The 21,405-nt window shown below is 39.8% G+C and overlaps 1 long non-coding RNA gene, 1 pseudogene and 1 gene segment (V, D, J or C); all 3 read right to left on the bottom strand.

The window, feature by feature from the left end:
- Positions 1-1,052: 1,052 nt before the first annotated feature.
- Positions 1,053-2,660, bottom strand: LOC102725101 (immunoglobulin heavy variable 3-23-like). The segment is given in 2 exon segments: positions 1,053-2,471; positions 2,580-2,660. Coding segments are annotated over 2 exon segments (444 nt in total).
- Positions 2,661-3,516: 856 nt separating this feature from the next.
- On the bottom strand, positions 3,517-9,757 carry LOC105371174 (uncharacterized). The gene is made up of 3 exons (XR_950994.1): positions 9,724-9,757; positions 5,724-5,847; positions 3,517-3,553 (listed from the first exon to the last, which is right to left on the bottom strand). It is a non-coding gene; the product is annotated as an uncharacterized LOC105371174 (long non-coding RNA).
- IGHV1OR16-1 (immunoglobulin heavy variable 1/OR16-1 (pseudogene)) lies at positions 19,124-19,380 on the bottom strand (annotated as a pseudogene).

The raw sequence follows: 21,405 nt of genomic DNA, 5'->3' as shown, positions 1-21,405 counted from the left end.
ATCTGAGACACTCACCCTGGGGGAGCCGTCACCAGGCACAGGAGAAGACAGACATAATGCCATCTTCTTCGTGAACACAACTCTGCATTCCCCAGATACCTTAGCCCTGCCTGAGGGGAGAGCTGTTAGCTTCCACAGTCCAAAAGCATTTTATACCCTGGAGCTTAAAGGATAGTTTGGATGTGGCAAGGCCTTGTACTTATACGAGAGAAGGACATAGGTCTGACTCCCTGTGGGTTTGAATATGTTTTATTGTTGTCTGTCTGTTTTCAGGTTGACATGAAGCACTTCCTTGCCAAAAACTACAGTCATGACATTTAATAAAATTTGCTTTATTCCTATTTTCCCACCTGTGACATTTGACCTTCTGTATCGAGTGAGCAATGTGCATACCTTACAGGAGAAATTACAAAATAATTCTCTAAGTCATCAGTATCACACGAATGCTACCCTGTCCTTACTGCCAAATATCTTCTGGAAAAATTTAAGTAAAAATAAATGACAAGTTGCATTCTTAAATTGAAAGTAGCATAACATTCAGAAACTCATGAAATCCTTTTGCCAAAGGTACTCCCACTAGAACTTAACAGCCCATGGTCTGCTTCCTCAAGGGCAAAGACAATATCACCCTATGACTTGATTCATCAAAAGCCCATGTATTTTCCATTTTACCTTCAGCATTATACTCTGATTTATCACATGCCAATACAGCGAAGTATTTTAGGGGATCGATGTGCTATGCAGAAATATTCAACAGGATGTTAAAAATGTCCTAAATAGCTTCTTTACTGCCATCAACTTGTAAATTATTTATTTTCCAAGAGACATCGGAGAAAAACAGTCACAAACATTGTAAAAGGGGCTAATTACAATTAACAACAAATGCAGCAGTGACTCCAGGATGTCAATCCATAGGTTTATTAGTGAAAATGAGGTGGGTTACATAAATTGTTTTGAGAGTATTTTCCTTGCTTGTAGAGTCAATACCAAGGTTGGCATCAATATAGGGTTAAACAGTGATTTGCTGGGAAGATGTCCTTGTAGATGTGATTTTTATAAGGTCATGGTGGCTTCTATCAAAGGTTGTGGTTAAGCAGAATCCATTCATGGTCGTTCTTGTTATCAGGAGTATGTGCATGGGAAACCTCCTTCATGGTCATTCCTAGTTCCTTTTGTCAGGGTTTTAACACAAGTGGATCTATTTTGATTCTGACAACTTTCACACCCTCTTTCTAACACTACTGGTGAGGAAGGTGACTCACTCTGTGGTACTTTGCACAGCACAGGATAAATTTCACATCCACATCCCATTTTGACCACACAAGCTCATCCTCTTCACTACTGTTGGCCACTTGCATTCCCAGGTGAGTCTCCACATGACACACTGGAGGGTGCTGAGCAATGGGAGAGAGAAAAGTCCTATCAGCCTCTCCCACATGGCTGCAGGAGCCACAGCCTGAGCCCCACCTCAGCTGCAGGGAATGGGCTTGAGACCTCGAGCTTTGGCAGCAAGAACCACATCCCCACTTTACAGGAAGCACGAACAGCACAAGGAAGAGCAAGAACAACAACAACAAATAAAAAGAAATAGAGTGGGCTAAGAGCAAAAGGGGCCCCAGATCAGTGCTGATACTAAGTTGCATACTTTAGTGTCAGGAGAAGGGTCAGGAATGAAAACTGTGAGGTTCTACACGACACTGACCCTGGCCCAGACTCTATTGGCTGTGATCACAATTCCTAAAGACCGTCCTAGTCAGGGAATCTCACTGAGGTTTCTGTCCTGAGTCTGACTGGAGAAGACTCACCAGGTATCCCTGAGTTTCCTCAATACTCTGATCCTGGTGACAATGGTTGAGGGCTTTTCATCTCTGTAAGCATCAATCTGTGTTTTGTGCATAGGAGAATAGGTTTTCATATTAAAATAATCATTTTAAAAATATGTAGAGATGACATTGGTAAGCACAGAATTCTGAACTTAGAGAGATTCCCTAGAGAAACTCTAAAAAGATGAAGTCCCACATCCTGACAGGAAACCAGCCTCCATCTGCAACTTGCCTCTGGGGATGACTCTGATCAGTGGGTCCTGTGTGCCCCCCGCAGCTGATTTCCCCCAAGCATTCTGCAGAGAGGTTTGTGTCTGGGCTCACACTGACTTCCCCTCACTGTGTCTCTTGCACAGTAATACACAGCCATGTCCTCGGCTCTCAGGCTGTTCATTTGAAGATACAAGGAGTTCTTGGCATTGTCTCTGGAGATGGTGAATCGGCCCTTCACGGAGTCTGCATAGTATGTGCCACCACCAGTACCAATAGCTGATACCCACTCCAGACCTTTTCCTGGAGCCTGGCGAACCCAGTGCATAGCATAGCTACTGAAGGTGAATCCAGAGCCTGCACAGGAGAGTCTCAGGGACCCCCCAGGCTGTACCAAGCCTCCCCCAGACTGCACCAGCTGAACCTCACACTGGACACCTGCAAACAGAGAGACACAAAGGTCAGAAATTGCCACACATCACATACCCACTGTTTCTCTCATTCATGCCCATTCACACTCAATATCTCTAGTTCTCCATGAATCACCTTTTAATATAGCAACAAGGAAAACCCAGCTCAGCACAAACTCCATGGTGATTCCTGTGTGTTCAGTCCTGATCACTGAATGGAAACACCTGGGAATCCCAAGGCTGGGGCTCCACTCCCAGAGCTGCAGGGTCAGGGCTGGGCTGGTTTTCATCAGGAGAGGGAGGGCTCTATTTGCATGTCACCTACTATATAGCAAGCTATGGGGTGGGACTCCTGAGGAGAGGGCAGGGCCCAGAGTAGATGAGAGCGTCCTGGGGGATTTTGATGACAATGATTGTGTTTGGGAAAATGCTGTCTTAATGTGAAATTGTTGTGCGATAAACATTTAACAACTATCATATTTTTAATTATTTTTACCTATGTGTATAAATGATGTTATTTAGCACTCAGTGGTTTCTTCGTTTACAGATGTAAAAGTGAACCCACACATGGAGGGGCTATGTATGTGTCTAAGGGCTTATATCTGGCATGAGTGAGTCCTAGTACCTGGGCCTATGCTCCTCACAGCTGGCCTCAATTGCTCTCTTAACCAACTATTGGACAGAGCTAAATGGGCCTAGTGTGGTTTGCAGAATCCACTTCCTGCCACGAGAACCTGTGTGATTTTGCTGCATTTACCTAAAAATACGGAAACATCTAGGCATCAGGCAGATAAATTTTTGGTGTATCTGATATTTAATGTATTCATTTGTTCCTTCTTATCATCCCTTTTTTGTCTAAAATTTCACTTGTTTACTTGTAATACATTTTATGAGTTTTAATTGACAGATGATAAAATTCACATATTTAACCTGCATAACAGTAAACTTTGATAAAGAAAATCTCTATTTTCAAGAAGGTGACAAGTCAACTCACCTCAGAATTCCTCTTGCTCTTTTACAGACATAATTTTGTTTTTCTCCTCTTTTCTTCTACCATTTCTTTATAAAAGTACTGATGTTTTCATATTTCTTTAGACTAGTTTTTATTCTCTAGAATTTATAAGAATGAAACAATATAGTATGTACTCTTATCTATTTGGCTTATTTTTCTCAGTAGAAATACCGAGAATTAAACCTTTTATGTTGTATTGTTTATTTTTTAATAAATAATAGGTAGCATTTCAGCAAACAAATGTAGCATAATTTGTTTTTCTAAGTTGCTAATTGGTATTCAAACTTTTCATTACTTTGGGTCTTACTAATAAATCTGCTACTCAATTTGGTAATGTACATAGATGATAAATTATATATAAAATATATTATTTTTGCAACAACAATAACACGTAAACAAGAGAATGTGCTATTTGGCAAATTTTCTTTAGCATGTCAAATAATTGAAGTTATGAAACAAAAAACAAACCTGTAAACCAAAGAGTATCTGAGACTAATCTCAATAGATTTAGGAAGTTCATTTTCCAAGATTAAGGACATGCCTGTGACACCGCCTCAGGGAGTCCTGATGATGTGTGCCCAAGCTTGTGGGCACAGCTTGGTTTTATACAATTTAGGGAGGCATGAGACATTAATCAATATATGTATATAAGATGTACATTGATTTAGTTCAGAAAGGCAGGACAACTTGAAGTGGGGAGAGGGCTTCTAGATCATAGGTAGGTTTGAGAGAAATGGTTGCATTATTTGAGTTTCTGATTAGCCTTTAACTGAATGCACAATTTACAGGAATAGTCACGTAGGCCTTAATCTGGCTTAGTGAAATAATAGAGCAAAGGGAGCAATCAGATATGCATTTGACTTACATGAGCAGAGAAATGACTCTGTCTGTCTTTGGCCCACAAGGATTTTACTTGTGGTCAAATTTTGAAGGAGGTCTGTAGCTTTTAAAAACCGTAGTAGCTATCATTTTAGTGAAATAATGGAGGTGGATTTACCCCAAACAGTTTTCAGCTTGACTTCCCTTGGGCTTAGTGATTTGGTGGTCCCAAAGGTTTATTTTCCTTTCAGGAACGTGGAAATCTTGAAAGAAATGAGTTCTTGTAGAGAGAAATGAAGCCATAGTGTTAGCTAAACTGAGGCCGAGGCTGCCACATGAAATATAGCCTATTACAAGACAAAGCTACAGGCCGGGCGCGGTGGCTCACGCCTGTAATCCCAGCACTTTGGGAGGCCGAGGCGGGTGGATCATGAGGTCAGGAGATCGAGACCATCCTGGCTAACAAGGTGAAACCCCGTCTCTACTAAAAATACAAAAAATTAGCCGGGCGCGGTGGTGGGCGCCTGTAGTCCCAGCTACTCGGGAGGCTGAGGCAGGAGAATGGCGTGAACCCGGGAAGCGGAGCTTGCAGTGAGCCGAGATTGCGCCACTGCAGTCCGCAGTCCGGCCTGGGCGACAGAGCGAGACTCCGTCTCAAAAAATAAAAAAATAAATAAATAAAACAAGACAAAGCTACAAACGTGTTGGATTGCTTAAATTCCAGTGAGGTAAACGTGTTGTCGTGTAAAATTCTCAGGAACCACATACTGAAGGGCACTGATAAAGTGAATTAAATATGGCCTGAGAAGGACTCCGTACTTCTGTGTTTGAGTCCTTCTGGACAAACTGTAACCTACCTGAATAGGTGGACAAGATTGAAAAGCCAACTTCAGAGCATGAGCCTGTAACAATAGCGGAGTCTTGGCCAATTCCAGCAGCCATACCTCAACCACTCATACACTCTTGAGTGTGCACATTTTGTTTAAATAAGACAAAAACAACCTGTAACCAATCCAGCTGTTTCTGTACCTCACTTCTGATTTCTGTACATCATTTTTCTAATCTATAAACCTTCTTCCACCATGTGACTGCACTGAAGTCTCTTTGAATCTGCTGCGATTCTGGGGGCTGCCCAATTCATGAATCATCCATTGCTCAATTAATCTCATTAACCTTAATTTGGCTGAAGGTTTTCTATTATCCGCATTCCTATACAATTGAATCCCTTTGTTCTAGAATGAGGACACTCAGAAAAATCTTCCTTTCCCAAAGTGTCTGTCTGAGACAGAAGGAGAGCCCATACTACCGAAATGCGTTCAGACCCACCTCCCTCATCAGCACTACAGAATAAAGGGATTACCTACCATACAGGGGCAAGCCACTGAAACCATGATTCCAGAGGCACTGGTGGAGCCCCAGAGGAAATGGGATAAAAACCAAGGTTCTCACCAAAGTTCCATCGAAATGTACCTCCTCTCTGTCATGGAATCAAATCCTTAATCTCCAGGGCATCGCAGAAGATCTAGAAGACGATGATAATAGTGGAGACTATTGGAGGTGTGGGAGGGAACACCTGGGAAAAACAGGAGAAAATATATGTATTTAACTCAGTAGACTTCAAGCTACTTACATGTTAATTAACTGGAATATTTCATAGCTAAATACCTGATCTAGCATGAGAAATAATAGAGATGACACATGGAGAATGCAACAGTGGGAAGCTGAGGTTCAAGTTCTGATGTTTGTTTACTGATATTTGTCCGCTGGCATGTCCAGAACTTCATGAGTACAGAACTCCTCTAATAGTGAAACAAACACTCACAGGACATGCATTTTTGTTTGAAATAAGTGTAATTCAGATGCTGGTAAAATTTTCTCCTCAGACTCCTTTGCACCAGCTCAGGGCTGACGTCTGTGTTGAGTGGGTTCTGGGCCTGCCCTGCAGCTCTGCCCTCACCCTGCTGGGGAGGATGCTGTTTGGGCTCACAGAGCATATTCTCCCAATGTTGCTCTCCCAGAATGAAAGGGCTGTCCCCTGGTTCACAATCCTCTTTCAGCAGCATCTGATGCTTTTGAAATTGTCTCTTGAAACAGTGATTTGTCATTACTATACCCAGTAAACTGCAGGGAGAGCCCAAGCACAGATTCATGAAACCACCAGAGAGTCACTTCCCTGGGACTGTCAGATGCAATGACACAGTCAAGATCCATGGTGAGTCCAGAAACTTTCAGATAATTCATAGGAGCCTCTTATTTCTCTTACAATTCTCTATTCAAAGTTCATGCCAAAAAGTATCTTCACAGAGAGAACTACATGGCTTAAAGCCCACAGAAATGAAAACATGCATGTACACACACATATACACCAACCACCCCCCCCACACACACACACGCAGAGTGGTATGGCTGATTTTTACAGTAATTGGCTCCTAATTTGGGATCTTTCCTAGTGTAAACCAAAGGTTTCTGAGACAGATCTCAATCAAATTAAAATTAATTTTCTCAAAGTTAGGACAGCCTGGAAGAAAAATAAAAGTAACCACAGAAACTGTGTGTGGTTAGTGCCATTCCTTAAAGACGATTTTTAGGGCTTTCAATATACACAGAGGAAAAGCTGGGTAGAGGGGAAGTTTGGATGGTAAGAAAATTTACATGTGTAATGAAAAAGAAGCACATAGGGAAATATAAAATTACGTAGTTCTCCTGCAGTAAGTCAGCACTTTCCCATGCTGTTCTCATGATAGTGAATAAGTCCCATTAGATCTGATAGTTTTATCAAGGGGAGTTCCCCTGCACAAACTCTCTCTTGTCTGCCACCATGTAAGATGTCCCTTGCTTTCCTGACATGATTGTGAAGCATCCCCAGCCATGTGGAACCATAAGTCCATTAAACCTCATTCCTTTACAAATTACCCAGGCTTGGTTATGTTTTTATTAGTAGCAGGAGAACAGACTAATACATTTATTTTGCCAAAGTTAAGAACCCACCCATGGCAAGCCTCAGGAAGTCCTGAGACATGTGCCCAAGGTGATAGAAGTACAGCTTGCTTTTATACATTTTAGAGAGACATGAGACATCAATCAATATATGTAAAATGTACATTTTTTTTTTCCTTCAAGACAGGACAAATTGAGAGGGGGTTTTGCAGTTTAGAAGTAGATAAGACACAGTAGATTGCATTGTTTTAAGTCCTTTATCAGCCTACCACTGAATCCACAATTTAGTCAGACTTAGTGAATCTTCATTTTTTCATAAGTGATACTGAAGAGGAAGCAATCAGATATGTATCTGTCTCATGTGGGCCTCAGAGGAATGACTTTGAATAGAAAGGGAGGCAGGTTTGCCCAAAGCCCTTTCCAGTAAAACACCCTTGTTTTCTGGAATATCACCGAAGGTTCTTTGTGTCGTGGCTATGAAAATCAAGGACACAGACACACAAAAGGTGAGGTTGGAGCAGAAATTTCATATGTAAAAGGAAAAAAAAAAAGCTCTCTGTCACAGAAAGGGGTCCCAAATGGGTTGCTGTGCTGCAGTAAAATGTAAGGATTTTTATAAATGTGCTACTGGGGAGAGGGTATCTTATCAACATAGGATGCAAAAACAGGACCAGGTGTGCCATCTGCATAGAGCGAAGTCTCTGGCAGCCCCATCTCATGCTTTTATTATGCAGGTGGGGACTTAGCTTGGTCTGCTCCACGTTCCTTATCTCCTTCCACCATGCGTGTGCTGAAAAAGGAGGGAGGAGTTTCCATGCCAGGTCCCAGGTACCTCCTTGCAGCTGGGGGCATCCCAAACCCCGTACAAGCTAACAGCTTTCCTAGCTCAGTGTGACCCCAGAAAAGGAAAGGAATGTGCTCATTAAGGCCCAGTGTTTTTATTGGGACCCATCCTATGTATGTGAACTTTGGTGATTACAAACAGAAATACCCTCTCTGCCAGAGTTGTTTATCTATATTTTACAGCCCGATCTTTCAGGCTGCTCTTTGTTAGAAGTGATCTCTTTGAACTGTGTCTGATTAGAAAAGAAGTTATTTTTGAGCTGATTCTTGTTAGAAGAAAAGTTTTTGCCAGAGACTCTTTCATCCTAACTATCTACCTAAATAATTTCTTTCTATCTCCTATTACACCAGCTGGACTCTTCTCTTTAGCTTAGTGATTTTGGGGTCTCAAGATTTATTTTCTCTTCACAATAGGCAGGTACAAAAGGAGACTTCATATGTAATTAAGTTGCTTGTATTAGTCCATGTTCAGGTTGCTATAAGGACATACATGAGGCTGGGTAATTTATAAAGAAAAATAGGTTTAATTAACTCACAGTTCTTCATGGTTGGGGAGGCCACAAAAAACTTACAATCATGATGCAAAGGGTAGCAAACACATGCTATTTCACATGACTGCAGGAGAGAGAAGTGTTAAGTGAAGAGGGAAGCCCCTCATAAAATTATCAAATCTTGTGATAACTCACTCACTAACAGGAGAAAAGCAGGAAGAAAACAGCCCGTATGATTCAATTATTTCCACCTCATTCCACCCTTGCAATGTGTGAATTATTACAATAAAAGGTGAGATTTGGGTAGGGACACAGAGCCAAACCATATCATTGATTTTATTTTCTTTAGAATTTACATTGTCTAGCTGTAAGAAAGCACAGCTTAACTTCTGCTGGTTTCAAGTTAGGAAAAATATTTAAAAAGGGAAATAATTGAAAACGTTATTTTGGAGACTTGTGCAAAGATACGCTTTAAAATTCAGTCCAAATTGTAGAAGATAATATAAATTGAAAAGCGAGTGGACAAGGTTAAAATCTATTAACTGATGCACTATAGTTTATTTTGAAATAATATTTCTCTCTATAATTCCCCAATTTTATTCGAGACAAAATCATAGTAGGACCAATTTATTTGTAAAATCAGTTTTAGGCTTATGAGACTTGGCCTGGTTTTTTTGTATAAGAGGCAGCAAAATAATCATTTAACATATTAGCTCTCTTTTTTTGTTTTCTATTTTTTGTTTGTACATAGGCAATTTTATTCATAAATGGACTTTGCTAGAAATTTTTTGTAAGGAGTCAAAGGGTAGAATCTTTAAAATCTTCAAGCCCAGTCAATATTTTATCTGTGCCACCAGATAGCTATGTGAATTGGGTTACTTTCTCTTTTTTCAAGTTTCCAAGAAAACTTGGGAGTCCTGGGTCTGTCAGAAATTAAATTGTTTACTTACTACACTTCAGGGCCCTGTAAAAAAAAAAAAAAAGGTACATGCCAGTTTTCCCAAAGGGCTTTATCAGCTCTCCAGGTTAGATTCATTTTATAAAGTAAATATGAAAATATATAATTCAAGTTAAAGACTTAGTAAAATGACCATTGTCTCCAATTGTGCCCTGTTATGGAAGAAAGCAGATTTTTATTGAACCTATGCAAATAACTATTTTGATATAAGAATACTCACAGTTTCCAAATTTTGGAGAAATTATGTATATAAGAAGATATTATGTTTTTATTTTTTTCTTAATAAAGTATACCATACTCAATTGTTAACAACTGTGAATAGCTTAAAAGACAAACTTTTCCTGATTCTGAAAAAACAGAACATAAGTAATTAGCAAATGCTTTAAAGAATAAGCCATAAAAATAATTTCAGTCTTCTGTCAATTCAGTTCATTCAATTAAGTCCTGTCCTGCTTAATATTAGATTAACAATCATCAGAAATCAATCAGGTATCAATGAGAGTCTTGGAAGTTTTAATCTCTATACCAATGGCACAATTTATAAAATTGTCACAATCGTATATTTAAGAGTACTCCTCAAAATTCTATAGATTATTATAAGCCACTTGATAAAGAATCAAAGTAAAACACCAACTGTGGATGACTGAAGTTTTAGAATAGCCATGGTTAAAGGCAGAATTGAGGGGAAAATTTGGTTACTTCTGCAATAAACAGAAATTTTACATAATAATCATAAACACTACCGATAAAATATACTAAGACATATCAAATCACTTGGATCTCATACAATTTTGGAAAATATGCTCTTTAATTTATATAAATATGGTCCAATTATATAGTCCACATTTATTTAAATATAGTCCAAAGTTAAAACACTTTTGCAAATTTGACGTAGCTCCCTGCATATTTTAATTATACCAAATAAGCTGAATAAGTTTAATTTTGGCTTTGGGGACCTAATATCAGAAAAGAATAATGAGGTCAAATGACTGCATTTAGAATTTTATTTTGTGAAGTTTGTCAAATATCAAAAGTTTACAATGTTTGATATTACAAAATAGGATTACAGATTGTTGTAATGTAAGTTATTTATTTAGTCCAGTGAGAACTCAGTGATTTTGAAAGAAAGCAAAAACTTTTATTTTTCAAAGAGAAGAATTAATTTTCTAAACAATAACCCCTTATAAGAACAGCATGAGAGAAGTTAAAACTGTCTCTCAATTCCGAAAAATAAATCTATTACATTATAATTACTTTTACCATAAAATTTAATTTCAAATGATCTCTTATAAACTTTTATAAGTTTTTCAAATTAAAAAGTGGATTAATTCTTCAAGAAACCCTTGTCAATTAATGTTTACTGTATAAAGAAACTTTCAAGTAATTTCATCTTTCAAAATTAGCTTTTACAATCTTACAAACCACTTCTTCTGTAACAGTCCCTGGGCCTGGAGTGGTTGAGTAGATTCAATTTCTGGCCTTGTGTCTTAAGTGTGTGATTAATTTTTATTGTCATTTTCTTCCACATCTCTAGATGGGGCTTCAATTGCTGTCAGAGTTTAAAATTTAGCAAGACTCGGTGTCTTTTTTATTTTTATTGTATTTATTTGTTTTTCCTGAGACAGAGTCTCACCCAGACTGGAGTGCAGTGGTGCAATCTCGGCTTACTGTAACCTCTGCCTCCCAGGTTCAAGCAATTCTCCCTGCCTCAGGCTTCCAAGCAGTTGGGATTACATGCGCCCGCCACCACGCCCAGCTAATTTTTGTATTTTTTATTAAAATGGGATTGTGCCGTTTTGGCCAGGCTCGTCTCTAACTCCTGCCCTCAGGAGATCCACCCTCCAAAGCCTCCCAAAGTGTTGTGTATCCTTTTTAGACCTAGGAATCAAAGATCAGTAATGTAGCAGCACAAGGCCTTTAAAAGTTACGCAGATAGTTACATTAACGTAATAACATTAATTTATATTTTCTCAAAATCTCAGTATTCCTAAGTAGTTGAAAAACTTAAAAACAACTACAGAGGAAGTATTTCAAGAAAATATAAAATTTGTTTTATGCCATTTACCAAATGGGAAAAAAAAACACCTTCAGCAGTGTGACTGTGTTTCCCTGTGGGGAAATCCATGTAGATAACCTGCAAGTCAACTCTAATGAAACGAAGTATTTGATTAATTAGACATAGGAAGAATGTGTCTTGGATTACAAGTGAAGATTTTGGTTTCATAGACAAATATAGACATTTTAAAAAACCCAAGAGTGCAGAATACTATATTGAAATAAAACATTTTATTAAGAACTTTAATATAAAAGATTTTTAGCATCAGGCAATCATAGCAGTTAGAAGCTAACAACGTTAGAAGTTAACTCTGTTAGAGGCTAACTGCTGTAAGAAAAAAATTGTTAGATGAGCTCATGAAAAATTTGAGATCCTCTCAAGCCTTCTCAAAAGAGAATAAAACTGGCAAGACGCAGTTTAAGAGTTAAACTTTTGGGTTAAAAAATTAAAATATCTTATAATTTTATTGAGTAAATCAATACTTTAAGACAATTTTTCATTCTAACCAATCTTTAGTATATTTATATATTTTTATATGAAAGCCAGATCTCTACAAATCTATAAGGACTATTATAAATACTTCCCTTTTAATTATAGTCAACTTCATAATATGAAGTTATTTTAATAAATTAACTTTTTACAAACCTTAGTTTGACTTACAAAAAACGCTTATGGCATACTTGAACATATAGTTTTATTCTAAACATCACTCTTTCTTAAATAAAGTCATTTTTATTTTAGGATAAAAAGTTGCAATACAAGATTCTTTCTCATATAAAATTATTTTTATTTTTTTATTTTAACCTTTCACACCAAAAGTACTCCTCTATGTCTAAAAATTTCTTTTTTTTTTTTTTGAGACAGAATCTTGCTCTTTCACCCAGGCTGGAGTGCAGTGGCATCTCTCTTATTTACTGGTTATGTTTAGGATGTTTTATAAGTAACCTCTGAATTAAATAAAATCTTTTTGTAAGAACAAATATTTTACAAAAATATTTTCTTATAGTATACATTCTTAAAATGATTAGCAATGACCTAAACATTTAGTCAATATCTATTATTTAATTAAACTTTAGATTTTTAAATTGTAGAACAAGTTTATTTAAAAGGTTTATTGTGTTACATTAACTTAATTTATTTTTTAAATAGCTTACCTAGATCATTTATGAAAACTATAATACTCATCCTTTAAAGCTTTTTCCCTGTTATCCATATTATAACCCATGAATTTCAGGTGTTTACCTAAGTAAAATTCTTATTAAATAAATGATTGTATTTCCAATAACTATTTACCTGTTTTTTATTAAAACAATAATATTAAACATCTTATTTGTCAAATTACAAAGATCATTCTGGTTTTAACTAGGTTAATAATTTTATAATCTTCATAGAAATGTTTCACACCATATAACATCCAGCTGCAATTTTAAATATAAAATCACTTGATCAATTGATATAAACCATAAGGTATTCTGATAATTGTTAAAATATTTCTAATTTTATTTTACCAATAATTTTGAAGCCAGCTTATTTATTACATATTTATTTAAGTTACATGTACTTCAGATGCGTTAGGGCTCATTGACTTAATTTAAAATAGTTATTTATTTTAAAGTCAATTTTGTACCTTGTAGCCATAACACATAACAAAAAAATATATATATATGTACATAATACATACAAGCACACATTCACACTAATACAAAGATACTAGAGCTTTTACTTTAAAACTCTAGCTATGGAATATCAATACAAACTCAACAGATGTTCAACAAAAAAGGGTTAGATGTAAACAGTGGTTGTCATCTTAAAACCAGTAGAAAGGCCCTGTAAACCGGAAAACAAAATATTTTTAAGCCAAAAACATATCCTCATCTTTCTTTATAAACTTCACCATAAATTGATTATACTCTCTTACTATTCTAATTTTTAGTAACCCTAATTCACAGTGAGAAGCCTAGGATTACTTAATTTAACATGACATGAGTTTAAGATTTTAAATTACTGAAGACAATTATGAGTCTAAATTTACCAAATTAATATTTGTAAAGCAATGTAAAATGTAAAGGTGACTCTGAAAAATAGATGTACATTTTCTTTACAAAGCATTTCACTAAACAGACTTAACTTGATTGGAGGTCTTTGAAACACAGCTTGATTACATTACTGCCCTTAGAGTGGGACCATTTAAGAAAAAGGGCCAAGAAAACATGCAGTTTTTAATTCATAAAGTACAATTGCTTATGCAAATGTGCAAAGAAATGAGTAGCCTTCTATAGTGATGACCATTTCCTGTAAACTGCCCTCAGCCACACCTAACATAGCTTTCAAAGCCACCCCTAAAATTACCGCTTTCATTCACTATTGCACACACCATGAATGAATCCTCTCAAAGTACAACGTAATTCTGGTAGCATCCAAAGCCAAAAACATGACACAATACAAGAAAGCAGAGCTTTATACTTGCTCTGCTTTATACCGAAGAATCTGCCAATGATTGAAACCACAAAGGAAGCAGAAAAACTCCCACCATGTTAGTGGCAAGATACAAGAGGAACCCTCCTCCCTGCTCCCACTCAGGGACCTGATTTGGAGCTGCCTCCTAAGGGAGCAGTGGTGTCCTCAGTGCCCCTTGGTGTCCTCACTGCTCCCTGGTTTCCTGAGCACCCCCTGGTGTCCTGAGTACCCCCTGGTGGTTGTGAGCAACCCCTGGTTTACTAAGCACATCGTTGTGTCCTGTGAGCCCCTTGTCCTCAACGCACCCTGGTGTTCTGATCGCCCCCTGTAGGTTCTGAGCTATCCTTTGCGTCCTGTGCGCCCCTGGAGGTCCTGAGCACCCCCCGGTGTCCTGAGCACGGCCTGGTGATTCTGAGATGCCCCTGGTGTCCTGAGCGCCCCCCTGGGGTTCTGAGCACCCCTGGTGGTTCTGAGCACACCCTAGTGGTTCTGAACCACCTGGTGTCCCGATCGTCCCCGGTGGTTCTGAGTGCCTCCTCATGTCCTGAGTGCTCCCTAGTGGTTCTGAGTCCCCTGGTTTCCTGAGTACCCCCTGGTGGTTCTGAGCACCCCCTGGTGTCCTGAGCGCCCCCTGGTGTCCTCAAAACCCCCTAGTGGTTCTGAGCCCCCTGGGGTCCTAAGATCCCCCTAGTGGATCTGAGCATCCCCTGGGGTCCTGAGGGCCCCCTCGTGGTTCTGAGCACACCCTAGTGGTTCTGAGACCCCTGGTGTCCTGAGCACCTCCTGGTGGTTCTGAGATCCCCCTGGTGTCTTGATTGCCCTTTGGTGTTTCTGAGCTCCCCCTAGTGTCCTGAGGGCTCCCTGGTGTCTCCAGTGTCCCCTGGTGGTTCTGAGTGACCCCCACCAAGTGTCCTGAGTGCCCCCTGGTGGTTCTGAGCACCCCTGCTATCCTGAGCTACCCCTCACCACAGTGTCTGGAGTGCCCCCTGGTGGTTCTGAGTGACCCCCCCCCCCCCCCCCAGTGTCCTGAGCGCTCCCTGGTGGTTCTGAGCACCCCTGCTATCCTGAGCTACCCCTCACCACTGTGTCTGGAGTGCCCCCTTGTGGTTCTCTGTGACCCCCCCCGCCACACCCCCCCCCAGTGTCCTGAGCGCCCCCTGGTGGTTCTGAGCACCCCTGCTATCCTGAGCTACCCCTCACCACCGTGTCTGGAGTGCCCCCTGGTGGTTCTGAGTGACCCCCACCCCAGTGTCCTGAGTGCCCCCTGGTGGTTCTGAGCACCCGCTGTTTTCCTGAGGCTCCGCACCCCCAGGTGGTTCTGAACATCCCTTCTTGTCATCAGTGCCCCATGGTGGTTCTGAGCACCCTCTGGTGGTTTTGAGTGCCCCCTTGTGTTCTGAGCGCCCCCTGGTGGTTTTGAGTAACCCATGGTGTCCTGAGCACCCCCTGGTGTCCTGAGCATCCCCTGATGGTTCTTAGCGCCCCCTGATGTCCGGAGCACCCCCTGGTGGTTCTGAGAAGCATCTACCAGGCAGTCCCCTCCTGTCCCCCTGCAGGGAGGTTGGTGTCTGAGCTCACTCAGATGTCCCCTCACTGTGTCCCTCAAAGTAATACACGGACTTTTCCTGAGCTCTCAGGTTAATCATCTTAAAAGAGAATCTCCTGAACTGAGTGTATTTGAGGATTGTTAATCATCTTTTTACTCAAGGAGAGTCCCACTGAGAACTTCCATTTGAATTATTGTTATTACCCACACCCACCCCTGTCATGAAGCCTGCTGGATCAAGCTTATGCTGTTTTCAGTGAAAGTGAATCCAGAGGCTTTGCAGAAAAGGCAGAATTCCTGGTCTGTAGTATTTCTCTGTCTGACTCCGTTAGTTAACTTCACAGGGGACTTCTGCAAACACAGAGGCAACAGACTGAGAACAGCCCCACCTTTGAGCAGCCACAGCAGGGCCTGATCCACGGGGAACCTGGATATTGAGAGTGATGACAAGAGAAGCCCAGATCAGCACAGACCCCATGGTGTGGACACTAAGGAAGGGCACAGATGTGGGGTGGCTCCTCACCAGGATCTACAGGAACAGGGGATGAGCTACTTTTCATTTGCAGAGGAGGGGCTTCATTTCCATGTCTTTCTCCCTGGGGACATGAGTGCACTGCTCAGCAGGCCTCTTCCCATCTCTGTCTCTGGATTCCAGGGAGGGCAGGGTCAAAGGATTCCTGGGACTGGATGTTCAGGGTTGATCTGCCCATTACTCTTTTTTTTCTCGTATGTGGACCCCTATAGGGTATCTTTATAGTATCAATATTTATCAACAAATAAGTACAGTAAACAAATAAAAATAAACCTTGCCCAGAGGAAATGGACTCCTGCCTGTAGGCTGTGCAATTAGAGCTGTAAAGGACTGTCTTCTACAATAAAGGAAAGTCTTCAGTTAGAATTTTAAAAATGACAATTTCTACAAACTATCAGAGCTGGAGTCCATAATTACCACTATCCTAAGCTCATCTTGCCACATAACTGTTCGTTGTCAGCTATATGTGCTTGTCTGAGGAAAAAGTCAATGTGGGGACATGTGTGCTTATCTGAGGGAAGAGTTCACATGAAGACAGGGGTGCTTGTCTGAGGGAAGAGTCAACCTGAGGATGCGTTTGTCTGAGGGAAAGGTCCACGTGGGGACAGGTGTGGGCATTGTCTGATGGTAAATGCCCATTCAGAGACGGTGTGTGCCTGGACTGAGCTGAAGTTTGAGGGAAATCTTTCTCAGTCAAAGGAAGATGCGAATCATCTGGATTAATTGCTTGTCAGCAGGGAAACTTGGTTGCACATGAACCTGATAAAAGAAAAGTCTCTTGTGAATGGAAACATCTTATGTGCAAATGGGGAAAGTTACTTCATTCTTTGTTGCCTGCATCTCATGCAATTCCCTGCCCACACGGTGTAAATGTATTTGATATTTTATTTTTGTACACTCTGCATTTTATCCTGGGGTTCATGATGTGCTACATCATTTTATAAGTTGTATATATTTAGATTCATAGTTTACATCATAGAATTATGAGAATTAACAAATTGTGTCATGCGTTCACTACTGCAGATCATAAAAAAGTTTCACTGTTTGCAAACAGTACCTTTTTCTCCTAATGCATACCCTCTCTCTAAATTTCTAGAAAATCCTCATATATTTATGACATCTACAGTTTTGTCTTTTACAGAATGTCAAATAAAATGTATACAACATATTTCAAATAACCTCACTGAAGAAGGTGGCACATAAAGTTTCTCACCTATATAACTTAGAAATCAGGGTGTTCTGTAAATCTAAAGTATAAAGAAACTGCACTTAAACACTTTTTTCTAGTCAATAAACATACTTCCAACAGGGGTACAAGTTAACAATTCTAATACCACGATGCATATATTCTAAATTGTACAACAAATTGAATGAATGGCCAATGATGGGAGGGGTTCCTCACTTTGCAGTAGGTGGTTATGGACAGGCAAGGAAGGAAAGCTTGAAACATTCATGTATCATCATAGTAGATTGTAGATACCAGTGTTCTAAAGTTTGAGGCAATAAACATACAGAAGATTGGATACATAAATAGATTAGATGGGTCCATTAACATGGGTTAATATATACATACACATTTTCTAGGCCTGTTAGCTTAGAGATTCTAGAAACACTGACAGTACATTAACAACACACACACCCAACATCATAATTTTGTGTGTTAATATAATTCTTTAATATCAAGGACCGGCAATCCTTGGAGAAATAACTGATTCTATGTGTAGAAAAGATAATAGAGATAATGAGCTTAGTATTTCTTGTAACACCAGGAAATAGGGAAGTGATCAAAAACAAAAGGATGGGGCATGCTGTAAAAATACAGAATCCAAACTAAATGAGCTCACAGAACCTAAAAAAAAGCTGTGGTGATTTGAGCGATAAAATAAATAATGTAGCACCAGATCTTCTCCATAGTAAAAAATAAACATTCATGAGCCAACACCAACATTAACAGATTATTGAATAAAGAAAATTAGAAAAAAGGCACCTTCCATTCAGAAGAATTCTAAACATCTTAATAATCTTCTCATTAAATAGGAGAAATTCAAATAATTATGCTGTGATTGTGGCCTGAGATTAGAGACAAGAGAAAAATCCTGTTAGTGGAATTCATAATTAGTTTTTAGATATCATGCCGAAAGTATGAGCTATGAAATAATTATTTTATGTAAGTTTACACATACACACACACACACACTATATATATATGCACACACACACATATGTATATAAATATTTTTCTGCCACAGACACTGATATGGGAGTAAAACAACAACTACAATTTGGAGAATACACTTGTAAAACACATATTTGTTAATCAATTTTTTGTTAACTTCGTGAGTGACTTATATAATGGGTATATAAGGAAACTTACAACTGATCAAAAAGAAACAATGCAATAAAAAATAATCCACATACCATACGAGACACTTCATCACAATTATATGAAATAATTAAATACAAAATTTTAATTAGAAATATGTGCGTTTAAACAACAATGAGATATCACTACTAATCTATTAGAATAGTTAAAATACGCAATACTCATAGTGCCAAATGGCAATGAGGATGCGGAAGAACAAGATCTATCATGCATTGCTGGCATGAACACAAAATTATAATTGCACAAAATGGAAAACATTAAAACATTTTGATATTTTATATAATGGAGATAAGTGTAGAGTTAAAATGTGATCTTAGCAGCTGTGCTCCAAAACATTTACAACACCCGTTCCAAAACTTATGCTCGCACTAATATTTTCAGAGGAATTCTATTATTGGTTTTATTAATTTGATTTGTTCTCCACTCCCTGAATTTTGCTTACAGAATAAAAGTTGTATGGAAAATTTCCCACATAATTAGAGTCCATACGCATTTCTATTTTCCTTTTTTCAGCAATGACTTAAACTCGCTTTCTAAAAAAAGTCTTTAAAGCAAATAAAATCCCTGTCATCTCTCAAGCCCAGCACTGCTGCCACCTCCCTCAGGATTGCTGACTGTCTCAGGATGTGGGTTTTCACATTGTGTGTCTCGCACAGTAGTACACATCTATGTCCTCAGATCTCTGACTGCTCAGCTCCATGTAGGCTGTGCTCGTGGACATGTCCCTGGTCATGGTGACTCTGCCCTGGAACTTCTGTGCATAGCCTGTCTTACCATTGCCAGAGTAGATCCCTCCCATCCTTTCAAACCCTTATCCAGGGGCCTGTCGCACACAGTGAATATCGTAGCTGGTGAAGGTGTATCCAGAGCTTTGCGGGACACCTTCACTGAGGCCCTAAGCTTCCTCCTTCAGCCCCAGACTGCACCAGCTGCACCTGGAATTGGGCACCTGTGGAGAGAATACAGGAGTGGATGAAATTCTTTTTGACTGAAAAGAGTCCTCTCATCCTTCGGAGTAGGTGGTCCTTTACCTGTAGCTGCTGCCACCAAAAAAATGATCCTTCAGGTCCAGTCCATGGTGAGGAGCTGTGTTCTCAGCAACTTCTCTAGAGGAGGGATGTGGTTGTTGGGTGATGCTCTCAGGGCACAAGAATAACCATATTTAATCTCAGTGGATCTCATGATATTTGCATATTCATGATTCAGAGAATTTTATAACTCAAGACCTGATTCAGGACAAGAAAGAGAGGATAAATGGCACATCAGCCATACAAAAGTGAGATGGTGATGGTCCAAGTCCTAATCCCACTTGAGGAAATGCATGCCCTGCTCCATTTCCAAACACTTTGTGGACAGAGGTCCTTTCACTGAAGAACCAGCACCCACAGGACGCGTTCCTCACAGTGAACCCATATTTGATTAGCATGGAGACAATCTGGATCATTTCTTGGACCATCACTACGACACTGAGCAGATGCCTTTGCCTCATTCTGGTCTCATCAGCCACCCGCACAGACCACTGGTGACTCTGAGAAAGAGAATGCTGGATGTCCCATGTGAGTGTCCAGCAGGGCCTATGGACAAGCTGGGTGCTCCTGAGACAGTGTCTTCAGCATCTGCCTGAGATCCTAAGATCTTTAACAGAAGACTTTTAGTTTACTGATTTGGCCTGTGATGTGTGATTGGCGCTGATTTTCTCATAAGACTGACAATAGCAATGAAGGGTTGGCATAGCAATTAGGAGTTCTTCATGAACTCCCAGCTCTCAGAATAATTTCCAAGGAATCTGTGTTTTGAATAAGCTTGGGTTTTATTTCTCACTCTATTGAAAATAATTTTGTGATGTATTTACATCAGGAAACAAGACACTCTAACAAGAGAGCTGTTTTTAGGTGAGGTGCAAAGTAGTGGAGAGATGGAGGTGTCCTTGAATTCTCAGAATTGCTGGAACTTGAATACCAAGTTCACCTCTGAAAGGCAGTAGTCTATCTGTGAGGATATCAATCAGCTCTGCCTTCAGGAATCTTTGGATGTGGAAAAGATCAGGAGTGTGATTTATTTTTATCCATCGTGGTTAGAGGGAAACTTCCGGTCCCAGGAAGTGGGTGATTTTAACAGAAGCACCTGAGACCTTTCCTTCTGAGTCGTTTTGAATCCTGAGATCTATTGGAGATCGCAGGAGAAAGCAATGGGGCAGATCTCCATTCTCCTTAATGTGTGATCCTGAGGATGTGGCCTGACCTCTGTACACTTCCGTGTTAAAAGATGTAGATTGGGGATTGCAGTGACAATTTCATATGCAAACTCTATAATAGGTCAGCACTGGAGAATAGTCTCATCACCAAGATTACTGCAATTACCTTTCCTGGGAACCAGAGAGAACCTCCGTGACCCCTCTCATCTGAGCACACAAGGAACTCTGCTTCTGCCCTGACAGATCACACCTGTGACACGGGGCAGGACAACGACAATCAAGTCTAGTGTCCTCATTCATATATTGACCAATCTAGCTCAATCCTTCTATCTCTGAAAGGCCCTCTCCTCCACTGAATTGCATGAACATACCTTTGGGTGTGGGGCATTACAGCTTTGTTATTTGATATTAGTTTAGTGAATTACATAATAAATAATCTGCCTCCATGGACGCTGGCAACAGGAGAATCATCAGAAGCTGGGTGAGTCATATAATCAGGACAAAACTGTGCTCTCTTCTTCGGACCTGGAAAGAGTGGGCTGACCTTGTGTGGGGCAACAGAGGGGAGGAGACAGACCAAACATCCAGAACCAGGTGAGCACCTCACTTACCAGGTAGTCTCTGGGCCTTTTGTTTGAACACATGCAGAAGGACCTGTGCTCACCTTCAGGGAAATGGTGAACTTGGAGAAAAGATCACAGTGACCAATAATTTTTTACTTATCGAGAAAAAAG

The sequence above is a fragment of the Homo sapiens genome, chromosome 16 (genome assembly GCF_000001405.40).
Source record: "Homo sapiens chromosome 16, GRCh38.p14 Primary Assembly".
NCBI lineage: Eukaryota > Metazoa > Chordata > Mammalia > Primates > Hominidae > Homo > Homo sapiens.
Note: the sequence above shows the minus strand (reverse complement) of the source record. Positions and strands in the feature narration are given on the sequence as shown.